Source organism: Homo sapiens, chromosome 16 (assembly GCF_000001405.40).
Source record: "Homo sapiens chromosome 16, GRCh38.p14 Primary Assembly".
Lineage (NCBI taxonomy): Eukaryota > Metazoa > Chordata > Mammalia > Primates > Hominidae > Homo > Homo sapiens.
In genome coordinates, this window is record NC_000016.10 from 27,854,570 (window position 1) to 27,878,177 (window position 23,608).

The 23,608-nt window shown below is 49.2% G+C and overlaps 1 protein-coding gene and 1 pseudogene across 6 annotated transcripts in view, besides 1 other annotated feature; one reads left to right on the forward strand and one right to left on the reverse strand.

Annotated features, from left to right (window-relative positions):
- The window catches only part of GSG1L (GSG1 like), a 276,187-nt gene that overhangs the window by 67,042 nt on the left and 185,537 nt on the right, over positions 1-23,608 (reverse strand). The window lies entirely within an intron of this gene.
- Positions 8,682-8,787, forward strand: RNU6-159P (RNA, U6 small nuclear 159, pseudogene; annotated as a pseudogene).
- Positions 12,445-12,946: an enhancer, noted in NCBI's record as "H3K4me1 hESC enhancer chr16:27878335-27878836 (GRCh37/hg19 assembly coordinates)". NCBI's record gives its function as "activates a minimal SCP1, AML or CMV promoter by ChIP-STARR-seq in naive H9 embryonic stem cells {active_cell/tissue: H9 hESC(naive)}" and the evidence as "EXISTENCE:reporter gene assay evidence [ECO:0000049][PMID:30033119]".

The window sequence follows — 23,608 nt, forward strand, 5'->3', positions numbered from 1 at the left end:
CGTGTGCTCACAGACACAGCCAGCACATCCTCGAGGGCTGTTCAAAAAGAGTGATGTCCACCTGTGCCCACCTGTGTCACCTGTGTCACCTGTATTTCCTGATGGCCACCTGTGTCCACCTGTGTTCATCTGTGTCCACTTGTGTCCTGGACACCCCACATGCCTCTTCACCTGGACTGAGCTCCATTTTGGTGGCCTTGTACCCTCACAAGTTCCCCAAGATGAGCGTGGGCCTCTCACCTGAAGGATGATGGAGAGAGGACAAGGAGAAAGTTCTCAGGCTTGTGATTGGGTGGGAATGAGATCCAGGAGAGCGGGGAAAGCCACCCTTGGATGTACACACCCCTAAGTCACAATCCTGCCCATCTCATCTCTACCTTCTACATTTCTACCCCAGAAATTCACATGCTTGAGCCCAGGAGTTCAAGGCTGCAATGAGCTATGATCATACCACTACACTCCAGCCTGGGTGACAGAGCAAGACCTCGACTCTTAAAAAAATAAAATAAAATTACCCTGGGACAACAGACATCCAGGGTGCTCGACCGTGATGGTGGAATTGATGAATGAGGGAATGACTCCCACTCTGCAAGGGATCCTCCCCCTGGTGGATGCCCTGGCTTGTCCCCTGCTGAGGACTTTCATGCCCATTCTCCTTTGATCCCCACAACAGGCCCATTAGGTGTGCATTTCACAGGTGAGAATGAAAGTGGGCTGAGAAGAGGTTAAGGGCTCAGCGAGCTGTGGTGAGTCCAGGAGTAGAGTCCACATCTCTTTTTGGCCCAACCTTCATTCATTCCACATGTAGCTATTGAGTATTTGCTACAAGCCTGACACGGCGCTAAGGGCTGCAGAAAAAGACCAACGGGGCCGGAAGCAGTGTTACAAGCCTGTAATCTCAGCACTTTGGGAGGCAGAGGTGCATGGATCACCTGAGGTCAGGAGTTCGAGACCAACCTGGACAACATGGTGAAACCCCATCTCTACTAAAAATACAAATATTAGCCAGGTGTGGTAGCCGGTGCCTGTAATCCCAGCTACTCGGGAACCTGAGGCAGGAGAATTGCTTGAACTCAGGAAAGAGAGGTTGCAGTGAGCTAAGATTGTGTCACTGTACTCCAGCCTGGGTGACAGAACGAGACTCAGTCTCAAAAAAAAAAAAAAAAAAAAAGAGACCAACGGAACAGACATGGCCCCTACCCACTGTGAGTTTCTGCTCCAGTGGAAAAGGCAGGTACTAGCAAGAAATCACCCTCAAGGGTCATGAGTCAGGGCTCGGGAGGTACAGGGGCCCCTGGAGCCAGAGCCTACACCGGGTGCTCTGTTCTGGGGGTCAGGGAAGGCTTCCCTGAGGCAGGATGTTTCAGTGCAGCCTGAAGGAGAAGGAGGAATTAACTAGGCCACAGCTGCCCAAAGTGTGGGGCTCACCCCTCTGCGGTGCTTAAGCTCATTTTAGAGCAGGATTTCTAAACCTCAGCACTACTGACATTTGGGGACAGAGAAGGCTTTGATGTCAGGGCTGTCCTAGGCGTTAGTGGGTGCTGAGCAGCATACCTGGCTTTGATCTACCAGATGCCAGGAATGTGCACCCCCCCCCATCCCCACATACCCCAGTCATAAAAACCAGAAAATGTTTCCAAACATTGGCCAAATATCCTTGTGGTGGGGAGGGCAGGGACAGTGGGGGACAAAATAATCCCCCATTGAATCCACTGTTTTAGATTCTTCATGAATGTTTTTGTTTCTATTTTATTTTATTTTTCAGGAAGGGTCTTGCTCTGTCACCCAGTCTAGAGTGTAGTGGTGCGATCATAGCTCACTGCAGCCTTCAACTCCTGGGCTCAAGCGAGCCCCCCACCTCAGCCTCCTGAGTAGCTGGGACCACAAGGTGCTCACCACCATGCCCAGGTAATATTTTTGGTTTTTGTAGAGACAGGGTCTCCCTATGTTGCCCGGGATGGTCTCAAACTCCTTGGCTCAAGTGATCCCACCTCAGCCTCTCAAAGTGCTGGGATTACAGGCACAAGCCATCGCTCCCGGCTCCTCACGAACATTTTTACAATGGTAATTTCTTTTTGACAGTTCTTTTGTATTTATTGCAAGTGATACTGGCTTTTCATTTCCAGTGGTGATCTGAAGGTTCCTTTCTGAATGAATTTATGTTGTGAGAACAGTGAGTGATTTAGAGAAAATGCGAAGTGAACATTGTACCTTGGGCATCGGATGTGGCAATGGTCACAGGAGCAGAATGCAGACAGATGAAGCAGGAGAGATGCGGATTTGGGTGAGGAGTGGGGTGGTGGCTCCCATCAGAACGTGGAGGTGGGCTCTAAAAGTGTCCCTGACAGGCCTGGGAATCCCCCAGGGAGGTGTCACATAGGTGCACACACCAGTTCTCTTGGAAGTTCAAGCCCAGCTTTCTTCCAGCCTGGCAACAGATTGGTCTCTCTTCGATTGGGCACCAGAGGAAGGGGTTGGCTCAACTTTGGGGGCCCATGTGGAAAGACAAAGATCCCTAAATACTAGACGCACCCTGTTTGAGGCAAGATGCTTGCATGATGAAAGGCATGGGGGTGGCCAGAAGCAGTGGCTGATGCCTGTAATCCCAGCACTTTGGGAAGCCAAGGTGGGCAGATTATTTGAGGCCAAGAGTTTGAGATCACCCTGGGCAACATGGTGAAACCCCATCTCTACTAAAAAATATAAAAATTAGCTGAGAGTGGTGGTGGGCACCTGTAGCCCCAGCTACTTGGGAGGCTGAGGCAGGGGAATCTCTTGAACCCAGGAGGCAGAGGTTGCAGTGAGCCAAGATCACACCACTGCACTCCAGCCTGGGCAAGAGAGCAAGACTACATCTCAAAAAAAAAAAAAAAGAAAGAAAGGCGTGGGGGGCCAGGTGCGATGGTTCACTCCTGTAATCCCAGCATTTTGGGAGGCCAAGGCAGGAGGATCACTTGAGGCCAGGGGTTCAAGACCAGCCTGGGCAACATAGGGAAACCCCATCTCTACAAGAAAACGAAAGGCAAGGGGTTCTCTGAGATAAATGGGAGTGTGCAGCACCCCGGGGAAGCCTATCTTAATTTCCTTCTTTGTTTTGAGCTCATGGGAGACACTGGGCGGACTCCCCCTCCCTGAGACTTCTTTCTCTCCATCTCTCTCTCATTTTTGTCTCTTTCTCTCTGTCTGCCACTGTTTTGTGTCTGCCTCTCTCTCCCTACCCCCTCTCCAAGACGTCCAGTTAAATGTCTCCAAGTGACAAGCAGGAATAGTCACTGTATTCATGTCTCCATGGTGGGCCTCCCCCTCTCCTCCTGTTTTGCTCTCGGAGGGCCCTGATCGGCAGAGACACCTGTGACGGGTCTACACCTGCAGTGTCAGGCCCCAGCTCACCCCCCACCAGCTCAGTCCTTCTGCCTTAGCATAGAACTGAGCCCTTTGCAAGCCACCTCAAGAACATTCCTCCCAGCACTACCTTCCATCCCTCTGGTCTCATTCGCTGAAATGCAAATCCAACTCTTCTGGCTAGTTAAGTTTTAAGTGCTCTGAGCTTCCACACTTCCCTGCGGCAACGCTGGGACTCCATCCAATTAGTTTCACTGGCCAGGACCTAAGAAAGCTGCCTGTGCACTAAGAAAATGAGAGGATGAGCGGCCACCTTGACAACCGTCCAGAGAGCCAAAATTGACAGCCTCTCTTTACCCCGGGCACTTTACAGTTTGTAAAGCACTTGACCATCCCTTGTCCTTTGTAATCCTTGCCTTAGCCCAGGAAGGCTAGGTTTCATTACACCCTATTTGAAAAAAGAGAGTGTAAAGCTCATAGAGGTATATCAACTCAGCCAGGGTAACACAGCAAGGAAGGAGTGTGTTTGAGTCCAGGTCAGCCCAACTCCAAGTCCAGGTGTTTTACCATTCCATCACAGTCTCTTCCACTCATTCATTCATTCAGCAAATATTTATTAAGCACTTTCTGGATGATAGGCTGTCTTCATGGTTTAGGAAATAAAGGAGTATATAAGACAAAAAGGTCCCTGCCCTCAAGGAGCTGATAGTCTTATGAAGGAAGATGGGAAAAAACACACCCATTTAAAAATTCAGAATTTAGCCAGGCACAGTGTCTCATGTCTGTAATCCCAGCAATTTGGGAGGCCAAGGCAGGAGGATTGCTTAAGGCCAGGAATTCAAACCCAGCCTGGGCAACATAGTGAGACCCCATCTCTACAAAAACAAATAAATAAAAATACCTTTTGAAGTTCACAGTTTAATAAATGCTGTGAAGGCAAAGAACGGGATATGGAAGATAATGATTGAGTCAGTTAGTTTAGCCAAGGAAGTCAGGGTAGGCCTCCCTGAGAAGGTGACATTTAAGCTGAGACCTGAAAACTGTGAAGGTTCTGGAGGGAGAGAGCCCCAGATGGAGAGAATGGTGAGGCAGGAAGAGACCAAGTGTGTTCACAGTTTCAGACCCAGGGCAGGGAAAGAGTGAGGAGGTTAAGAGGTGGGTGAGAGGTGGGACTGTTGCTATGAGGAGCCACGAGACGGTCTTGAGCTGTGGGAGGGGTAGGAGTGACACTGTCTGCCTTATCCCATTTGGAAGTGGATCTGGCTCCGTGTCTCTGCAGGCTCTTGGTCTTCTCCTGACTTCTGGCTCTAGGGGGCGCTCATAGAGGGGCCTAGACACTTCCCATGATAGTGTCTGGCTCTGCGAGGCCCACCTCTGTTCTGGGACAGGATCCGAGATTTGAAGCCTTCAAGATTGGGACCTAGGCCATATATGGCCAGAATGACAGGCAGACAAAGCTGGAGTGAGGTCACGCAGAAGCATGGAGGGGGGTCTCGGCACCATGCCCTAGTCCATCCTCCGGCGAGTGCTAAGAGCTCCATCAGGGTAAGCAGCTATGAGATTGCCCAGGGCCAAGCAAATATAGGGGCAGAGAGGGCAGGGCCCTGGCAGCCCAGGGCATCTCATGCGTCTCACTGCCTGGCCCAGACATCACTGTCTTTGCTCCCATTGGCCCTAGAGTCCCTGCCAAAGACCGTCAGCTCTTCTCATCTGTTACATTCCTTGAGCAGGAGTTGGTTTTCTATCCCTCTTTATTTATTCTATTTACTTTTTATATTTTGAGAGTTAGAGTCTCACCCTGTCACCCAGGCTGGAGTGCAGTGGCACGATCATAGCTCACTGCAGCCTCAAACTCCTGGGCTCAAGTGATCCTCCCATCTCAGCTTCCCGAGTAGCTGAGACCACAGGTGTGCACCACCATGCCCAGCTATTTTTTTTTTTTCATTTTTGCGCAGAAACAGGGTCTCGCTCTGTTGGCTAGGCTTATCTGGAACTCTTGGCCTCGAGCAGCTCTCCCGCCTCTGCCTCCCAAAGTGCTGGTATTACAGACGTGAGCTGCCACACCCAGCCATCCTGCCTGTCTTCTGAGGAAGGCCTGTGACTCTGGCAGGTGCTCCCAGCAGGGGCTCCCTCTGGCTCAGAGCTGGGTTTAGGACTAGGACACCCCTTCAATCACCAAAGATTAAGGCTTAACTGGTTTTGCAAGCTGCTGAGAAACAGGCAAGAGAGGGGGAGGCTCCAGAGGAAGGGGTGGCTCTAAGGAGGCCCTGGGTGGGCACCTGGGCTGCGGTTACCCCAGTCTGCACCTGCCTGCCCTGACCAGGCTCAGGTGTGAAGCCACAGAGACCCTAGGTCACAGGCTCACACAGGCTCAGCCCTGCCCTCGTCCTGAATCGGGCTTGGTCGGGCAGGAAGAGGTGCAGGAGCCGCATAGTAGGTGCTCAGTAAATGCTGATTGACTCTCATAGCCTCTATCTCAGCAGGTCCGGAAGCCCCCAGCCTTTCCAGCCCCTGCAATATCACATGGGCAGTAACTAGGGGACAGCTGCTCCCCGTTGCAGACAAGATGTTCTCTGTTCTCTGTCCTCTGGCAGAGTTTGCCAGACCTCCACCTTCCCAGAGACAAATTGTGGGTAAATGCGAACTCACATTGTCTCAGAATAGCCATTGGGGAGTTTCTGATCCTGGGGAAAGCACAGGGAAAAGACTATTGGTGGGGAGAATTTTCCCAATATGGAGAATTTCCATCAAGGGAAAGTGTCCTCTTAGGGGCTTTTAGACTCCCCAGCCATCTGCAGCCAAACAGCCTTCTGCAGGGAGGGGCTGGGAGTCCAGGGAGACAGCAGCAGCTCTTCTGTGTGAAACCAGGACAGGACGCCAGCCTAGGCAGGGACCAAGGACATCACAGTCATGGAGGACCCTCAGAAAGGGCCAGTGGGAGGCTGGGCGTGTTGGCCTCTGTAAATACTTGTTGAAGGAATGAGTGTTACAGAAGCTGTGGTAGAAGAGGATTGGAAGACACATTTGAATCTTTCTGCCCCTTCAAATAGGCACTCTCTCCTGGGCCAGGGTGGGCCACTGGTGGGGAATGCAGGGGGGTTGGCGTGAGCTGCATTCATTAGCCTGAACCCTCTAATAAATGCCCCATTGTAGGTCTAGAAAAGTGAAAGTGAGGGCCGGGTTCGGTGGTTCATGCTTGTAATCCCAGCACTCTGGGAGGCCAAGGCGGGCAGATCACCTGAGGTCAGGAGTTCGAGACCAGCCTGGCCAACATGGTGAAACCCCGTCTCTATTAAAAAATATATATATACAAAAATTAGCCAGGCGTGGTGGTGTGCACCTGTAATCGCAGCTACTCAGGAGGCTAAGGCACGAGAATCGTTTGAACCCAGGAGACGGAGGTTGCAGTGAGCCGAGATCGCGCCAGTGCACTCTAGCCTGGGCAACAGTGAGACTCCATTTCAAAAAAAATTAAAAATTAAAAAAAAGAGAAAGGGCCAGTGGGAGTGTCAACTCTGCGAGGGAAGAAGGATGAATTTGGCAATGGCTGTCCAAACTGAAATGCACTTTCCTTTTGACCCAGCAATTCCACCTCTAGGAATTTACCCTCAGACATATTTGCAAGTGTGGGCAAAATTTATGGACAAGGGTATTCACTATAGCAGAGCATTGGAAACACCCTGAAAGTCTACCAGTAGTGCACTGATAGATTGAGCCATGGCCATGGAAATCTGTGTCTCCATCCCTGACCTCACTTCCCGCCCCTCTTTCCCTCTCTGGCCTCCTTCTTGTCCCTTGCATACCCCAAAGCATATTCCTGACCCAGGGCCTTTGCATGCACTGTTTCCACTGCTTGAGCCATTCTTCCCCCAGACACCCACGTCTTGTTATTTGTTACTATCTCAGGGCTCAGATTCCAGTCCCTTCTGCAAGGGTGACTGTGGCAATTTGGAGGCCATATTCCCTGGGCTTCAGAAATGCCAAAGCAGATTCATCCACTCTGACGAGCCAGAGACCCTCAAGCCAAGAGAAGCCAATGGCCTAGTGGTCTCGACTCTCTCAGATGTGACCCAACCCAAGTGGACGGGTTGCACACCATTCAGCTTTCTAGTCACAGGGCACCATCTGCCAAGCCTGCCAAGCTGCCGTTTATTAAGGTTATGAAGGAGCAACTCTAAGGTGATCCCATGCCCTAGTGTAATTCTTTCCCCTTAATTGCAATAATCAATAGGATATGGCAGTGGTAATAGGATGTACGTGACTATGTTACATAAGATTGTGACACTTCTCTTGCAAGGAGCCTGTCCCTCTTGATGACTTAATGAAGTAAGTAGCCATATTTGAGGTCCACAAGGCAAGGAACTGAAGGTGACCTCCTTGAGCTAAGGATGGTCTCCAGCCAACAGCCAGGAGAAACTGAAGCCCTGAAAGAAACCAAAAGGAGCCGAAATCTCCGAACAACCAGGTGAGCTTCAAACAGATCCTTCCCTTAGATGGGTTCTAAAGGGGAACTCAGCTCTGGCCAACACCCTGACTGCAGCCTAGTGCAGAGCACCCACTTAAGCCAGGCCAGGACTGCTGATCCACAGAATTGTGAGCTAAGAAATGTGTGTTGTTTTAAGTTGCTAAGGCCATGGCAATATTGTCACACATTTGGCAAACACAGCAGTGGGCTCTGGGTCAGGCCTGACCAGGGCAGGCAAAATGGCTCTGGGGCTGGCTGGTTCCCTCCTGAGTCTGCTGGGGGAGCCATGCCCATGGCCCAAACCAGGCCATGCATTTGGTCTTGACACCTAACTACCCCTCCTGACACTAGTCTCCCAAACCTTGAACCCCAGCCTGGCTGCAGCCAGTTTCTCTTTACCAACACCTACGCTCCCCATATACACAGACACACGCATGACACAGAATAATACAGAGCTTTGAAAACAGAGCAGGCTGAGTCCAATTCCTGGCTCCAACATATTTTGTTTATGTTCTATATGTGTGTGCTTGAAATAAACATATATTCTCTAGGGTTTTTTTTTTAGGGGAAATAGAGTTCTATATATAGTTAATAATTCAAATGTATTCATTGTATTGCTCAGTAGCTCAGTTCACTTTTTTGTCTGTTTCTCCATTAGTTTCTGAGATGTCTGTGTGTATGTTAAAAATCTCTATCACTGCTGATTTATCTGTTTCTTCCTGAGGTTCTGCCAGCTATTGCTTGCTATAAAGTTTTTGTTGTTAGGAAAATATATGCTTATGACGACATATTTTTTCTTGTTTTGTTATTCTTTTTACCCACCTATAATTTCCTTATTTGCTCCCTTATAATTTTTGGTCTTAAATTATACTCAGTGCTCATTTCATCAGCATATACATTAAAATTGGGATGATAAGGGAAGATTAGCATGACCCCTATGGAAGGTTGACATGCAAATTTGTGAAGTGTTCTATTTTTACAAGAAAAAAATTCTATTGAATCAGATAACAAAACTGTTAACCCAGCTTTATTTGGTTCATTTTTTTCAGGTATATCTTTTCCCATTCTTCTCTCTTCCACCTTTCTATGTCTTTTAAAGTGTGCCTCTTGTATGGTTGGATCTTGCTGTTTTTATTTCTATAACCCAAGAGTTCTAACTTTTAACTGATGAATTTAACCCAGTTACATTTATTGTAATTTGAATTTATTTCTGCCAACTCCAGCACTTACTAAATGTGTCACTGATATCCCAGAGGTACAGCTGGGCTTGGCAACAGGGGATTCCAGGCCCAAAGGCCTGACTCAGCTCAGGGAACTATCATATTTCGAGATGACAGCCAAAAGAGAGCCCAAGTTCCTTATACTGGGCCAGGAGAAAGAGATCCAACAGCCCAAGGAGTTCCTGTGGCCCTGGCTGAGCTCCTCCTACCTACCCTCATTGAAGACCCACAGTACTTTGTGGCTAAGCCTATACCAGCTGTGTTAGGACTCATAATCACAAGTGGTGACTACCTAGCTCAAACTGGGTTTTTTAATGGAGGAAATAAATTAACTCATGTAATGGAAAGTTGTAGGGATCATTTGGCATTATACAGAGCATGATCCAGGTGCTCATATGATGAGGTCAGGAATCTGTCTCTTCCTCTCTCAAGCACTGCTATTGGCCTCATTCTCTGGCAGATTCCCTCCATATGTTGAATCCATCAGCTCCCAGCTTACATCCTCTCCTCATTTAAAAGGGCATTTCTGGTGTTCCAGCAGTTGCCACAAACATCCTAGAACTGAATCTCATTGCCTTGATTTGTATCACATGCTCATCCCTGAACCAATCATTGTGGGCAAGGAGATGGAATGTTTTGATTGGCCGGGCTTTGGGGCCACCTCTGCAGTGAGATGTGGTGCAGTAAACATGGCATGAGGGTGGAAAAGAGATAGTTTCCAAAGGAAAGTCATTGTGTTCTAAGCTGAAGAAGGTAAAAAGGATGCTATCAAGGCAAAACGCACAGAAATCCACTATGAACACTATGACATGGAGATGACATGGAGACAGTCAGAGGCTGGGCTCAAAACAGCCCTTCACTGCCTCTCTCCTAAGACAGCCACATCCCTGCAGTTCTCAGCAAAATCCCCAAAAGCCAAAGTCATCAAATGGACTTAATCTTCTCAAAGGTGGCTGCTCTCCCCTGTGCCCACCTGCAGCCACAAAGAGAAATACTGAGAGATGACATTACAGAATGACCTTTAGAAAAATACGGTTTTGCCTCAGATTGAACAAGTTTCCGCCCCTTGGACATGAGACAACCAGAGCCCAGACATGAGACCCAGCAGGCTTTGATGCAGCAAAATGGAGGTTGCAAAGCCCTCGTGTGAACTCTCAGGAAAGCTCTGGACATTGGCCTACAAAGCTGAGGATGAAACCCTGCTCTCCAGGTCTTGGGCCCTCTCTGCTGGCTGCATTCTGGCCCGCAGGAAGGAGCCCAGCCCATGTGTGGGTCCACCTCCAACACCACAACTCTACCCAACAATTCCTTCATCTGAAAACATTCACAGAGGCTCCCACTGAGTCCTACCGGGCTCCAGAAACACAGAGATGAACAGAATGTGGTCCCTGCCACAAGGCTCAGGGTTTGGTTTGGGAGACAGGTTTGTGCTGTGAGGTCCCCTTAGACTTGGAGTCAGCTGTGATGTCTGGTGCCTGAGACCAAGATGGCGCCAGTCCCACGCATTCTTCTGTGAGCCAGTCCAACTCTCACCCCCACACTCTGGGCTCCTGACCATACTGGGCTCCAATCCAGCCATCTCCTGGGATGTCCCTTACTTCCCCCAACCTCAATCCCACTGTGCTCTAGGTCTACGAGGCCTCTGGCCCTCTGGCACCCAACTCCTGACCTGGTCCTTGGAGTGTGTTTTCCTGGATTGACTAAGAATCATCCCCAGGTTCCTTTGGCTTGATACTGTCCTGGTCACCTTGGGAAGTGTCCCCTGCCCCAGCATCACCTGAGATCCATTCCCGGCTGGGAGCCCTACAGGTCTTCTCAGCCCCTGGGGGATTCACTGCCACCTGGTGGGGAGTGGAGGTGGAAGTGGCCGCACTGGATAAATGTCAACCACAGAGCAGGGACGCTTCTTTCTTTCTCTCTCTCTTTCTATATATATATATATATATATATATATATATATATATATATATATATATACACACACACATACATACATACACACACATATATATACACACACACACATATATATGTGTGTATATATGTGTGTGTATGTATATATATATATATCTGTTTGTGCCCTAATCACTGGCAGTAAATGCACTTTTTTTCTTTTCTTTTTTTGAGACAGGGTCTTGTTCTGTCACCCAGCCTGGAGTGCAGTGGTGCAATCACGGCTCACTGCAACCTCAAACTCCCCAAGTGATACTCCTGCCTCAGCCTCCTGAGCAGCTATGACCACAGGTGCACACCACTATGCCCGGCTAATTTTTTATTTTATTTTTTTAGAGATGGGGTCTCACTATGTTGCCCAGGCTGGTCTCAAACTCCTGAGCTCAAGTGATCCTCCCACCTTGGCCTCCCAAAGTGCTGGGATTACAGTTGTGAGCCACCGCATCTGGCCAAATACACTCTTAGTTTCTGTTTCTCTCTCTCTGTGTCTCTCTCTAGTTCTGCCTTCCTGTGTATCTTTCTATTTTCCACCTCTGTTTTTCTCTGTATATCTCTCTGCCTCTCTGTATATCTCTGTATGTCCTGTATATCTCTCTGCCTCTCTCTGTCTGTCCTCTCACACACAGATACATTCTTCCCTTTCTGTAATTAATCTTGTCCACACCCCCTCTCCCGTTACATGAACTACATACAGTGTCACTGTAATACCAAATCATTACATACTTAAATACCATGAAAGTCTCAGTGCTGCCACAATATTACCAATTCTGTTACAGTCATCATCCTCAGAGCCAACCATGTATCAATCACTGTGCTGGGCACTTTATATGTGCTCACTCCTTTAATCTGCACAACCCCACCAGTAGTCTGACTATTATCCCATTTTGGAGAAGGAGTAAGTAACTGAGGCTCAGAAAGATGGAAAATTTGGCCCAAAGCACACACCTGGTGTTGAGGCCAGGATCCACACCTGAGCAATCTGCCCTCCACCCCTACCCAAATGCAGGCTCTCACTTTCACTTTTCTTTTTTAATTTTTTCGAGACAGAGTCTTGCTCAGTCACCTAGGCTGGAATGCAGTGGTGTGATCTTGGCTCACTTCAACCTCCGCCCCCCAGGTTCAAGCCATTTTCCTGCCTCAACCTTCCAAGTAGCTGGGACTACAGACTTGCACCACCATGCCAGGTTAATTTATGTATTTTTAGTAGAATCAGGGTTTCACCGCGTTGGCCAGGCTGGGGTCGAACTCCTGACCTCATGTGATCCTCCCGCCTCAGCCTCCCAAAGTGCTGGGATTACAAGCATGAGCCACCGAAACCGGCCCTCACTTTCACTTTTCTAGACCTACAATGGAGCATTTATTAGAGGGTTCAGGGTGATGAATGCAGCTCACGCCAACCCCCCTGCATTCCCCACCAGTGGCCCACCCTGGCCCGGGGGCAGAGGAGAGAGTGCCTATTTGAAGGGGCAGAAAGATTCAAATGTGTCTTCCAATCCTCTCCTACCACAGTTTCTGTAACACTCATTCCTTCAACAAGTATTTACAGAGGCCACCTTGATGTCTGTGGTACTAGGGATACAGGGATCACCCAGATAGACCAAGTCCTGCCCTAAGACTCATGCTCTAGGAGGAGGGGCAGGAATAGACGCCCACCCAGATCAATGCACAAGCTCAGTTCAGCGCACAGCAGGTGATGCAGTGCTTATGCAGGCAGGCACTGCATGGCTCTCAGCCCAGCTCTCCCACTCATGCTGTGTGACCTCAGGCATGTTAGTTAACCTCTCTAAGCCTCCTTCTCCTCATCTCTAAAATGGGGATGAGATGCCTGAGTAAAGGACCTGGCACATTGACAAAGAGGTGGGAGCCACTGGGAGGCAGAGGGTGGGCCTGGCTCCCACCTCTATGGCTCAGGGGCAGGGCAGATCAGTGAGCGCTGCCCCATGAGCTGTGGCAGGTGGTCCTCAGAGCCTGGCTACTTCCAGTCGCTGGGCAGACAGGAGTTAGACTCTCCCCACTGAGCCCTTGCTCACTGTGTGTCAGAGACTCCAGGAGCTCAGCCTTTCCCCTACGACAGGGCTTTGGCCTCGGTTTCCCTGCTGGGTTCCCCACCCAACCCACTCCCTGGGGAGCTGGATCCTATGCCTGTGCTGCCCTCTACTGGCCACCAGGAGGAGGGTACCTGCAGCGCACCCACCCTGAGGATCTCCGGCGGCCCCACCCACCCACTCGGCTTCCTCCTGAGGCCACGCCCCCTGAGGCCACGCCCCCTGAGGCCAGCCACTTCCTGGCCACGCCCCTCAAAGTCCAGCTTTCCGGCTGAGTCGGAGCCTGGGCCTAGCAGTCCTGTCCCAACCTCCTTGCGTTTCTCGCGAGACCAGGCCCAGAAATTCCCAGCATCCCTTGCTACACTCACTCCACTAAGTCCCTTAAAAACTGCCAGAAACCAGCAGTTCCTCCAGCGTAGGTTTTATTTCCAATTTTTATTGAACTTATTAAAATTCTTACCTCTTCCCACCTCCCTAAAGCCCAATTTCTACTTGGCCCTGTGCCTGGGGCCAGGCTCATTTGTATGAAAGGCCTGATGGCCTGCAGACTCCCCCAGCCCAGGCTTCTAGCAACATGCAAAGGATGTGGCGGAATTTAAATTACTAATGGCCAGCCGGGAAGGGGAAAATGACAGGGGCCTGCCCCATCTGTCCCACCTCCCGAAGACTCACTGGCTGTTCCCTCCCCAGCTAACAGGTCCTGATCCCCTTCTAGAATCCTCAGACCCTTCTGCAGGCCACTGATTTGCTTCTAACACTCCAACTCATTCATTTAACTGACATTTATTAAGCATCCTCTGTATGCAAAGCATGGGGCCAGCCACAGGGGATATGGCCGTAAATACGGCAAGGCCATTCCTCCAAGGCTAATGAGGAGAGTGACATAAACAGTGACGTGAAATCAATTATTACAAATGCTAAAATAGAAATAGATCCAGCTACCATCTAAAACTGGCACCCCATGGGCTGAATCGAACCTGCAGATGTTGGCAAGAGCTGTAAAAAAAAAAAAAGATGATATTTTGATGCCAACATTTTAAAAATTTGGAGGATTTCCATTAAAATATGGGAGTTTTGGCTTCTCTTGTAAAAAATCAGAAACGCAACACTGGGTCCACATTTCTTCTCGGCAACCCTCAGCTGGAGCTAGGCTGGAGCTGGGGCGTTTCATGAGGGCCTGCAGCTGCCAAGCCCCTCAGTGGTGCCATCGTCTGCCCGTCTGCTGCCCTCTGCCATAGCTCCTGCAATATCCCCAGCTCGCTCACTCATCCACATTCCCTCCCAGGCCACTCAAGGCATCTTGAGTTTCAGCCTCCGAGAAGGGCCTGAAGGAGATAAAAGGTCTGTGTTCCCTGGATTGGGGAAAGGCTTCCAAGGTGAGCTTGGAGATGGGGTTGGAAGGCCAGCATGTGTTCACTAAGAGGCAGAGGGAGGAGGGAAGGAAGGAGGAAGGCAGATGTGAGTGCGACAGCCAGGAGATGGGAGCAGGGCTCGGGGCCTCCCGTCCTCCCAGAGCTGGGGGTCTCCTGCATTGATGGGGCTCCTCACTGAGGATGGGCTCAGCTCTCCTCTGATCTTCTAGGACCTTCCTTGGACGGGTAAGAAAAAGGCTACAGGTGAGTGGAAGTTATGGAGGTGGAGAGAACAGAAGAAGGAGGGCCTTCAAGGCTCCGGGAATTGCAGAGGGGTTTTGAGGAGAGTCAGTGGCCTTCCCTCTCATAGGATTAACACTTTGATGATGGGCTGGTATATAGCAGGTGCTCAGTAAATGTCGGCCCATTTGCTGCTGTTTGCTCCCTGTGTCTCTCTTGTTCCTCCTTTTTCTCTCACTTCCTTCTTCCTCCCTCCATCTTTCTCTGCTTCTCTCTCTCTGTCTCCCTCCATCTCTCTCTCTCCTTCTCTCTCTCTCTGTCTCTGTCTCCATCCATCTCTCTCTCCTCTCTCTCTGTCTCCCTTCATCTCTCTCTCCTCTCTGTCTCCCTCACTCCCTCTCCTTCTCTCTGTCTCTGTCTCCATCTCTCTCTCCTCTCTGCGTCTCCATCTCTCTCTCCTCTCTGTCTTCCTCCATCTCTCTCTCTCTCCTTCTCTCTCTGTCTCTGTCTCCCTCCATTTCTCTCTCCTTCTCTCTCTGTCTCTGTCTCCCTCCATCTCTCTCTCCTTCTCTGTCTCTGTCTCCCTCTAGCTCTCTCTCCTTCTCTCTTTGTCTCTGTCTCCCTCCATCTCTCTCTCTCTGTCTCCCTCCATCTCTCTCTCCATCTCTCTCTGTCTCTGTCTCCCTCCATCTCTCTGTCTCTGTCTCCCTCCATCTCTCTCTGTCTCTGTCTCCCTCCATCTCTCTCTGTCTCTGTCTCCCTCCATCTCTCTCTCTCCTTCTCTCTCTCTCTCTGTCTCTGCCTCTGTCCATCTCTCTTTCCTTTTCTCTGTCTCCCTCCATCTCTCTGTCTCCTTCTCTCTCTCTGTCTCTGCCTCTCTCCATCTCTCTTTCCTTTTCTCCCTCTGTCTCCTTCCATCTCTTCTCTCCTCTCTCTGTCTGTCTCTGTGTCTCTCCATCTCTCTTTCCTTCTCTCTCTGTCTCCCTCCCTCTCTCCTTCTCTCTCTGTCTCTGTCTCCTTCTGTTTCTCTTTCCATCTCTCTGTCTCTCTCCATCTCTCTCTGTCTCTGTCTCCCTCCATCTCTCTCTCCATCTTTCTGTCTCTGTCTCCATCTCTCTCTCTCCTCTCTCTCTGTCTCTGTCTCCCTCCATCTGTCTCTCCTTCTGTCTCTCTGTCTCGTCCATCACTCTCTCTTTCTCTCTCTCTGTCTCCCTCCATCTCTCTCTCCTTCTCTCTCTGTCTGTCTCCATCCATCTCTCTCTCTCTGTGTTCTTTTCTCTCTCTCCTTAAGTGTGTGTCTCCCTCTGTCCCAGGGGCCTGTTCATCATCTTCCTCTGCCTCCCATCTCCTGCTCCATCTCTTACCTTATCAGGGGCCCTCCACTCTCCTCTCTTCCCTTCCCCGCCCTCCTAGCCCTGCAAAGACTGAGATGTGATGATGGAGTATTTCCTGCAGGAGGTCCTGCCTCAAACCTCACACGCCCAGAATGCACCACTGTCCTCCTTCAATGCTCTTGCCCTCATGGGATGACTCCCCTGTTTCCCCATCATGGTCGCAGCCTGGCATCTGCATCCTCCATGACTCCCACCCTTGCCCTGCAGTTTGTGGACCATCAAGTCCTGCCAGTTCTGCTTCTCTGGAGCCCATCCACAGTCCTCCGTTCCCTCTGCCACCATCTCCTTGTGGCCAGACACCTGCAGTCACCTCTTAGCCGTGCTCTCCAGCCTGTACCGGCCCTGCCTGCCCTTCCTGTACCCCAACAACAGTCTTTGTGAGACTCACCCTGACCTTGTCACTCCTTCACTTAAAGCCCTTGGTGGTTTCTCATTGCACCCCCACACTTCCTAGCCTGGCATCCAAGTCCAGCCATGACCTGACCTCACTTTCCCCTTTCCCAACCCCAAACCAGCAGTCTTGCTGATTCCGTGTCCAGCCAGTCCTGGAGTCACTGTCTCTGAACATTCCCCCATGAAAATTCCGAGTTGTCGTGACTTGGGGAGGGGGTGCCACTGACATGTAGCAGGTGGAGGCCAGGGATGCTGCTGGACACCCCACAATGCACAGGCCAGCCCCCAACAGCAGAGAACAATCTGGTCCAGGAGGTCCGTAGTGCCAAGGTGGAGAAAACCTGGTCCAGGGAATTGGGCACAGACAAGTAAATAAATTAATTTGGGGCCGGGCGCAGTGGCTCACACCTGTAATCCAAGCACTTGAGGAGGCTGAAGCAGGCAGATAGCTTGAGCCCAGGAGTTTAAGACCAGCCTGGGCAACATGACGAAACCCCGTCTCTACAAAAAATACAAACAATAGCCAGGTGTGGTGGCACACGTGGTCCCAGCTACTCAGGAGGTTGAGGTGGAAGGATCACCTGAGCTCAGGGGGGCCAAGGCTACAGTGAGCCCCCTGATTGTGCTGGTGTGCTCCAGCCTGGGTGACAGAGGGAGATCCTGTCTCAAAAAGAAAACAAAGAAAAGAAAATGTGGTCAATCCATACAATGGAATATTATTTAGCCATAAAACTAACAAAGTACTGGTACGAGCTACAACATGGATGAAACTTGAAAGCGTGTGAAGTGAATGGAAGAAGCCAGTCATAAAAGATCCTATCTTCTATAAATCCATTTATAGAAAATGTCTAGAATAGGCACATTGATGGAATAGAAAATAGAGCAGTGGTTGCCCAGGGCTGGGAAGATTGGTGGAAAATGAAGAGCGACTGCTAGTGGCATGGGGTTTCTTTTTGGGGTGATGAAAATATTTTAAAATTAAGCTATGCTGATGGTTACTAAAAATCATTGAATTATATGCTTTAAGCATGATATGTAAATGATACCTCAATAAAGCTGTCTAAAATTTTTTGAATTAAAAATCAGGAGTTAAGAAAACAGATTTTGGCCTTCCTCGAATGCCATGCATATGAGCTCTGAAGTTCACCTCTGCTGCCGTATTCCCTGCTGTATTATATCTGGGCAGCTGCACTCATTTAAGTCACCTCCATGGTCGCTCTGGGCATTAGATGTGAGACCCCCCAGTCTGGAGTGAGGAGACCATGCGTACTGAAGTTACCAGCCTCATTCTCCCATCTCATGTCCAGTCCTAGCAGCAAAGAGCCCCTGGGGACCAGAAGGGGCCGTATGGACATGGATGGCCAGCAGTAGACTACATGGACCAGTCTAATAGCAAAGCCCATGAGCCTTGAAGCCAAAATCGCCACTTACTAAGCCTGTGCCTCAGTATTCTCAACTATAAAATGGGGACAATAAGAGCACCTACCATTGTAGTGTCAGAGGCATTTGAACCAGAGTGACTCCATCTTGACGAGGGGCTGGGTAAAATGAGGCTGAGACCTACTGGGCTGCATGTCCAGGAGGTTAGGCCGTCCAAGTCACAGCATGAGTTAGGAGGTCGGCAGAAGATACAGGTCATAAAGACCTTGCTGATAAAACAGGTTGCGGTAAAGAAGCCAGCCAAAACCCACCAAAACCAAGATGGTGACAAAAGTGCCCTCTGGTTGTCCTTACTGCTCATTATATGCTAATTACAATTCATTAGCATGCTAAGAGACACTCCCACCAGCACCATGAGAGGTTACAGATGCCATGGCAACATCAGGAAGTTACCATGTATGGTCTAAAAGGGGGAGGAGCCCTCAGTTCTGGGAATTGCCCACCCCTTTCCCAGAAAACTCATGAATAATCCTCCCCTTGGTTTGCATATAATCAGGAAATAATACTAAGTATCCTTAATTGAGCAGCCCATACCACTGCTCTGCCTATGGAGTAGTCATTCTTTATCCCTTTACTTTCCTAATAAAGTTGCTTTCACTTTACTCTATGGACTTGCCCTGAATTCTTTCTTGCATGAGATCCAAGAACCCTCTCTTCGGGTCTGGACAAGGGACCCCTTTCCAGTAACAATAGCGCTGGACAGAGGTCATGTCTCAGCACACAGTAGGTGCTCAATAAATGTGAGCTATTGGTGCTATGATTCTTGTTTGTGATTTCAAATTCCCAGAAGTTCTAAAATCCAAATGTTTTTTGCAACTCATCTGGTCACAATACCTGACTTGGCCTGAACTTCTTTGGAACATAAGCCTGACCTGGATGGATGTGAGGCTATTTACTATCTTGATTTATCACCCCCTGCCAGCCTGCATATGTGTTTTACAGCAGAAATATGAATGGATTTGATTATAGGGATCTGCCCCAGCTGCTGGTGGGGTGTGATGGAATGGATAGTCTATGTCTTATGTTACCTTCCAAAATCTAAAAAGTTCTGAATTCTGGAACACTTTTAGACCCAAGGATTTCAGACTGGGCACTGTGACCTGTATGATGAAGATGATAACAACAAAGATCAAACCCCGCCCCCTCTTTGCCAGATGTTGCATTAAGAGCCAAAAATGGTGGCACAGCCCCAAGCAAAGGCAGAAGGGAGAAAACATCGCAAAATTCTGAAGATAAATCTTCTACCAGCCCAGGGGGATGGGGGCTTAGAATTAAAATTAAGGTCCTATCCAGAAATGAAAGAGCTGAAGTGTTGCTTGCACACCTGGGCTCAGGGATAAGAATAGCACTGGCCACCTTAGCTTTAGAAGACTGAGTTTGGAGAGACTCAGCTTGGTCCACTACCTTGGGGAAAGGAGGGGTGAAATGGATGGCTACAGAGGGGTGAAATCTGTAGCATCTAAAACACACAGGGACTCCCCATAGAGGGCCAAGCTAAGCAGGCCCAGCCCTATTGCAAATGCTTAAGGCATTAGTCCCCAAACAGGGAAGACTTCCCAGGCCTCTCCCTTAATGTGTCAATGGCTCTAGTTGCCCCAAACTGAACATAGCTGGGAGAGGGGAGCAGGTGACAGCTCAGCTGCAGATATGTGCTCCTGTCTCCCCACCCAGGACCCTTGTTGTATAATAAAGAATTTGACTAGCCCTTGTCCCTGTTTCAGGAGGGACACTCTAAATCCTTTGAAGTTTGTAATAGAAGTGTCTTTGTTATTCATGAGGCTCTTGAATCACATCAGATTTGATGCTAGTGAGATGAGATGATGACTCAAAATGGGGGCTGCGGGAGGGTCACTAAAAAGATCAGCCTTGCAATTAGAGGGCTGGGGCTTTGAGCCAGCCTGACCTCAAGGAGGAGAGGGGACTGGAGATTGAGATCATCTACACATCGACATGGCCAATGATTCCATCAATCGTGCCTATGTCATAAAATCCCAATAAAAACTCTGGACACTGAAGCACAGGAGAGCCTTTTTTTTTTTTTTTTTTTTTTTTTTTTTGGACAGGGACTTTGTCACCAAGGCTGGAGTGCAGTGGTGCAATCATGGCTGACTGCAGCCTCCTCAACCTCCCAGGCTCAAACAATCCTCCCACCTCAGCCTACCAAGTATCTGGGATATAGGTGTGTGCCACCATGCCCAGCTAACAGGCAAGCTTCCTGGATGGTGAACACATGATGTGTTGGAGGGTGATGTGTCCTGATTCCACAAAGAGACAGCATGGGAGCTCTGCATTGAGACCCTTGCCAACCTTGCCCTATGTGTTTCTTCCTTTGTCTGGTCTTGATCTGTATTCTTTATAATACAGCTGTCACCTTAAGTAGAGTGACTTCTGAATTCCGTGAATCATTCTAGTGAATTATCGAAGCCTTGTATTTGTAGCCAGTTGGTCAGAAGTGACAGTGGCCTGGGGACCCCTGAACTTGCAGCTGGCATCTGAAGTGGGGGCAGTCTTGCTGAGGACCATGCATTAAGCCTGTGGAGTGTGATGCTGCTTCTGGGAAGATGGCATCAGAATTGCATCAGCACAGACCAGCTGGTGTCAGAATCCCCCCCTTGTCTTGACTTGACTTTCTGTGGCAGACATTGTCTTGCCTCCAATCATATCTCCTTGGCCCACACCAGGCGTCATCTGTGGCTTTGGTTAGGCAATTCCCACACATGTTGGTGACTTCTTTCCTCAAAGACTTGCTTTCTTCGGTGGAGAAGGCTGGAGATTATGGGGAGTTAATGTCTCAGGAGTGACCCTAAACTAATGGTGGATGGAAGTTGGTGAGCAAATATCACTGCTTTCTCACCCCTTGAGTGAACAGTTTTGGGGTGTGCTCTACTCAGCCTCCATGAGGGACTGAGCCCCAGTGGCCCACAGTGGTTACCTTCTCGTCAATACTCCCTTTAATGTCTTTCCTCCCTTCCTGGCATCCTTTTCCACTCTCCCACCGTACTTGCTAAGATCACCTCCGAAAGAAACTGCTTGCACCTGAATCTTCATCTTAGGGTCTGCTTTGGAGAAACTCAAAATAAGGCCTCTGCCATTCCTGGGGCACCGGATCGTTCGGTTCCACTGTGGACACTCTGATAATTTGACAGTTTGACAACACATTTGGGCTTGTATCAAGCAGTTCATTTTGGCAACCACTTGCCTGCTGTTGCATGATAATCCTGCTTGGTCCATGACTGAGCCCACATCATGGACGTGCCAACAGACCCAACCAAACCTGGCTAATGAGAGTAATTCATCCTCTGGCATGGTAATTTGTTTAGAAATGAGTCTATGACTTAGTTGGTCCAATTATAGTCCTTTTTGGACAAAACTCCAAGCAGACACTATTGGAAAGGAGCTCTCTCTACCTCTAGAATTTTAAATGAGCCTGGGCTACTTGTAGCCATCCTCTCCGCATGGAGAGGGCCTGACTGAGAATGATACTAACACAGAAGAAGGCAGAGTTTAGAGATATAGATTCCTGATTACATGATCACCTGGATGCAGCTGTGCCTGAAGCCCACCCCCTCCACTTTTCAATTACTGAACCAACAGATTTCCAGCATGATCCCCTTTTTTCCCTCCAGCTAATTTGATCAGGTTCTTGTCACTTACAAATAAAAGGATCTTTAATAATATGTAAATATTCATCTTTCTGACTTAGACCCTCTGCATTTTTAAACACAAAAATACTTGCCCTCTAAGCTATGAGCAAGAAACCAAGTCTGCCAGGCCAGGGAAACTGAACAGAAGGGGTTATGGGTGGGGGATTCTTTCAGCACAGGTGAAGGTGGCAGGGGTGACTGGTGGAATTAGGGTCCCAGCAAACTTGTCCTAAGATAATTTGTGGCCATTTACAGGAAGAAGCACAAGACCAAAAGTCACCACAATAAGAGTAAGCTCCAAGAAAATGCCAAGGAATTAAGAAGTGTAACAGGAAGGAAGCCTTCCTTGGGGGAAGGTGTCATGATTGAACACAGAACTTAGATCTGAGCTTCCTGGCAGCCGATGGAAAAAGGCAAACTCAGTGAGCGCATGGCTCACATTCACTCCTAAAAGGCAGCACAGATGAGATCGTAAGGCAAATGGCTCTGCAAATTTGCTTTCCTAAGAAGCCACATGCTGCCTGGCTCCTGGCACTGGTACCAGGCCCAGGGGAGTTGCACTGTGCCTGCTCACAACCTAGTTCCCGAGGATGTGAGTATAGGCAATGGAGTGAAGTTGGTATGCTTTGCCCCTTGGCCCCCAGGCCTCCAGGTCCCCAAACTCCTGTCCAAAACACACTGGTGGCACCCACCCCGCAGGCCATAGGGGAGTGTGCTCTTCAACTCGGTCCACACTCTTAAGATGGCACCTGAAATTCAGATTTCAAAGAGTTACCTTGTCTTTGGTAATTTGGGTTTTATTGTGACATTTCATTTTCTCTTTAGGTAACAAAATAGATGCTTGCTGATTTCTCCACGAGGCTGATTATTTCCCGGAGATGGACAGGTTTCTCTTTGTGCCAGTGCTGTTTTTCCTGAAAGCCCACAGTTAGCTGGACTGTGCAGGAATTTTCCGAACGACTTTCTCTTTTTTCCTTAGTGGATCAGCCTCAATTTTTGGAGGAGCTGGGGGAGGAACAGAAATTTGCCCAGCCCGCTCACAACCCTTTCTGGATCTAAGCCCCTGACCACTGGGGAGCAAGAGGGTGGCAGAGCCCTGTCTTCCCCAATACCTCTCGACCGAAGTCACAAGACTTGGGGGGAGTGGAGACATGGGCAGCCGGAGCCATCCCTGGTCTCGAATTAGTCTTGCTTGGCTGGGAGAGCACGAGAAAGGCCGTGGTCTAGTTCAGGGCCACATTATGACTTTTATGGGCCCTGGGCACTTTTGCCATCGTAGACCTGTTCCTCCATAAAAGAAGTATTAAGATTTACCTTTTATGACAGTAATGGTATAAAGACAAATATGACCCTGTCTAGATTCATTTTTGTATCTTCATTATTATTACATTCTTTTTTTCTTCTGGTTTTAAAAGAAGTCAAAATTAAACATTTCATGGGTCCCTAGCAGTATCGTGAGCTCCAAGCCCTGTGCTGGCTGGAGAAGGTGACCAAGGGAGCCAGAAGTCACCAACTTCCCATTCCCTTGCCCCTCCCCAACCCTGTCCCTCAGCCCTGGGGGGCCACCTTCCTATATAACCCTCTGCTGCCAGCAACACTGAGTGGGGAGACAGCCTTGACCCTTTTTCTCCCTTCACTGAATCATCCAAACCCCAGCCCCTGGGCCCCAGCCTTGAAAATTGCCCACCTTTGATATCTGTTCAAATTGCCCCAGCCTCATTTTGAGAGTGCTGGACCTTGGGGCAAGATCTGTCCCTCAGTTTATTCAAAGGCAGCTAGGAATAATAATAATGATAACAACCTGAAGTCCTGGGTGCAAAGCCCTGCTCAGAACACTTCACCATGGCAGACTCTAGGGTTCAACACGTTACTAGCCATGTGGCTGCAGGCAAGTCAGTTTTCTGATCTGTAGAATGAATGTAATGCTACAGGAGGAGTAAAGAGATTAACACATGTGGCAGGCTTACCCCAGGGCCAGCGCATAGTAGCATCTGTTAAAGAAAAAAAAAATGGTTTTTGAGAGACAGAGTCATGTTCTGTTGTCCAGGCTGGAGTGCAGTGGCATGATCATAACTCACAGCAGCCTTAACCTCCTGGGCTCAAGGATCCTCCTGTCTTGG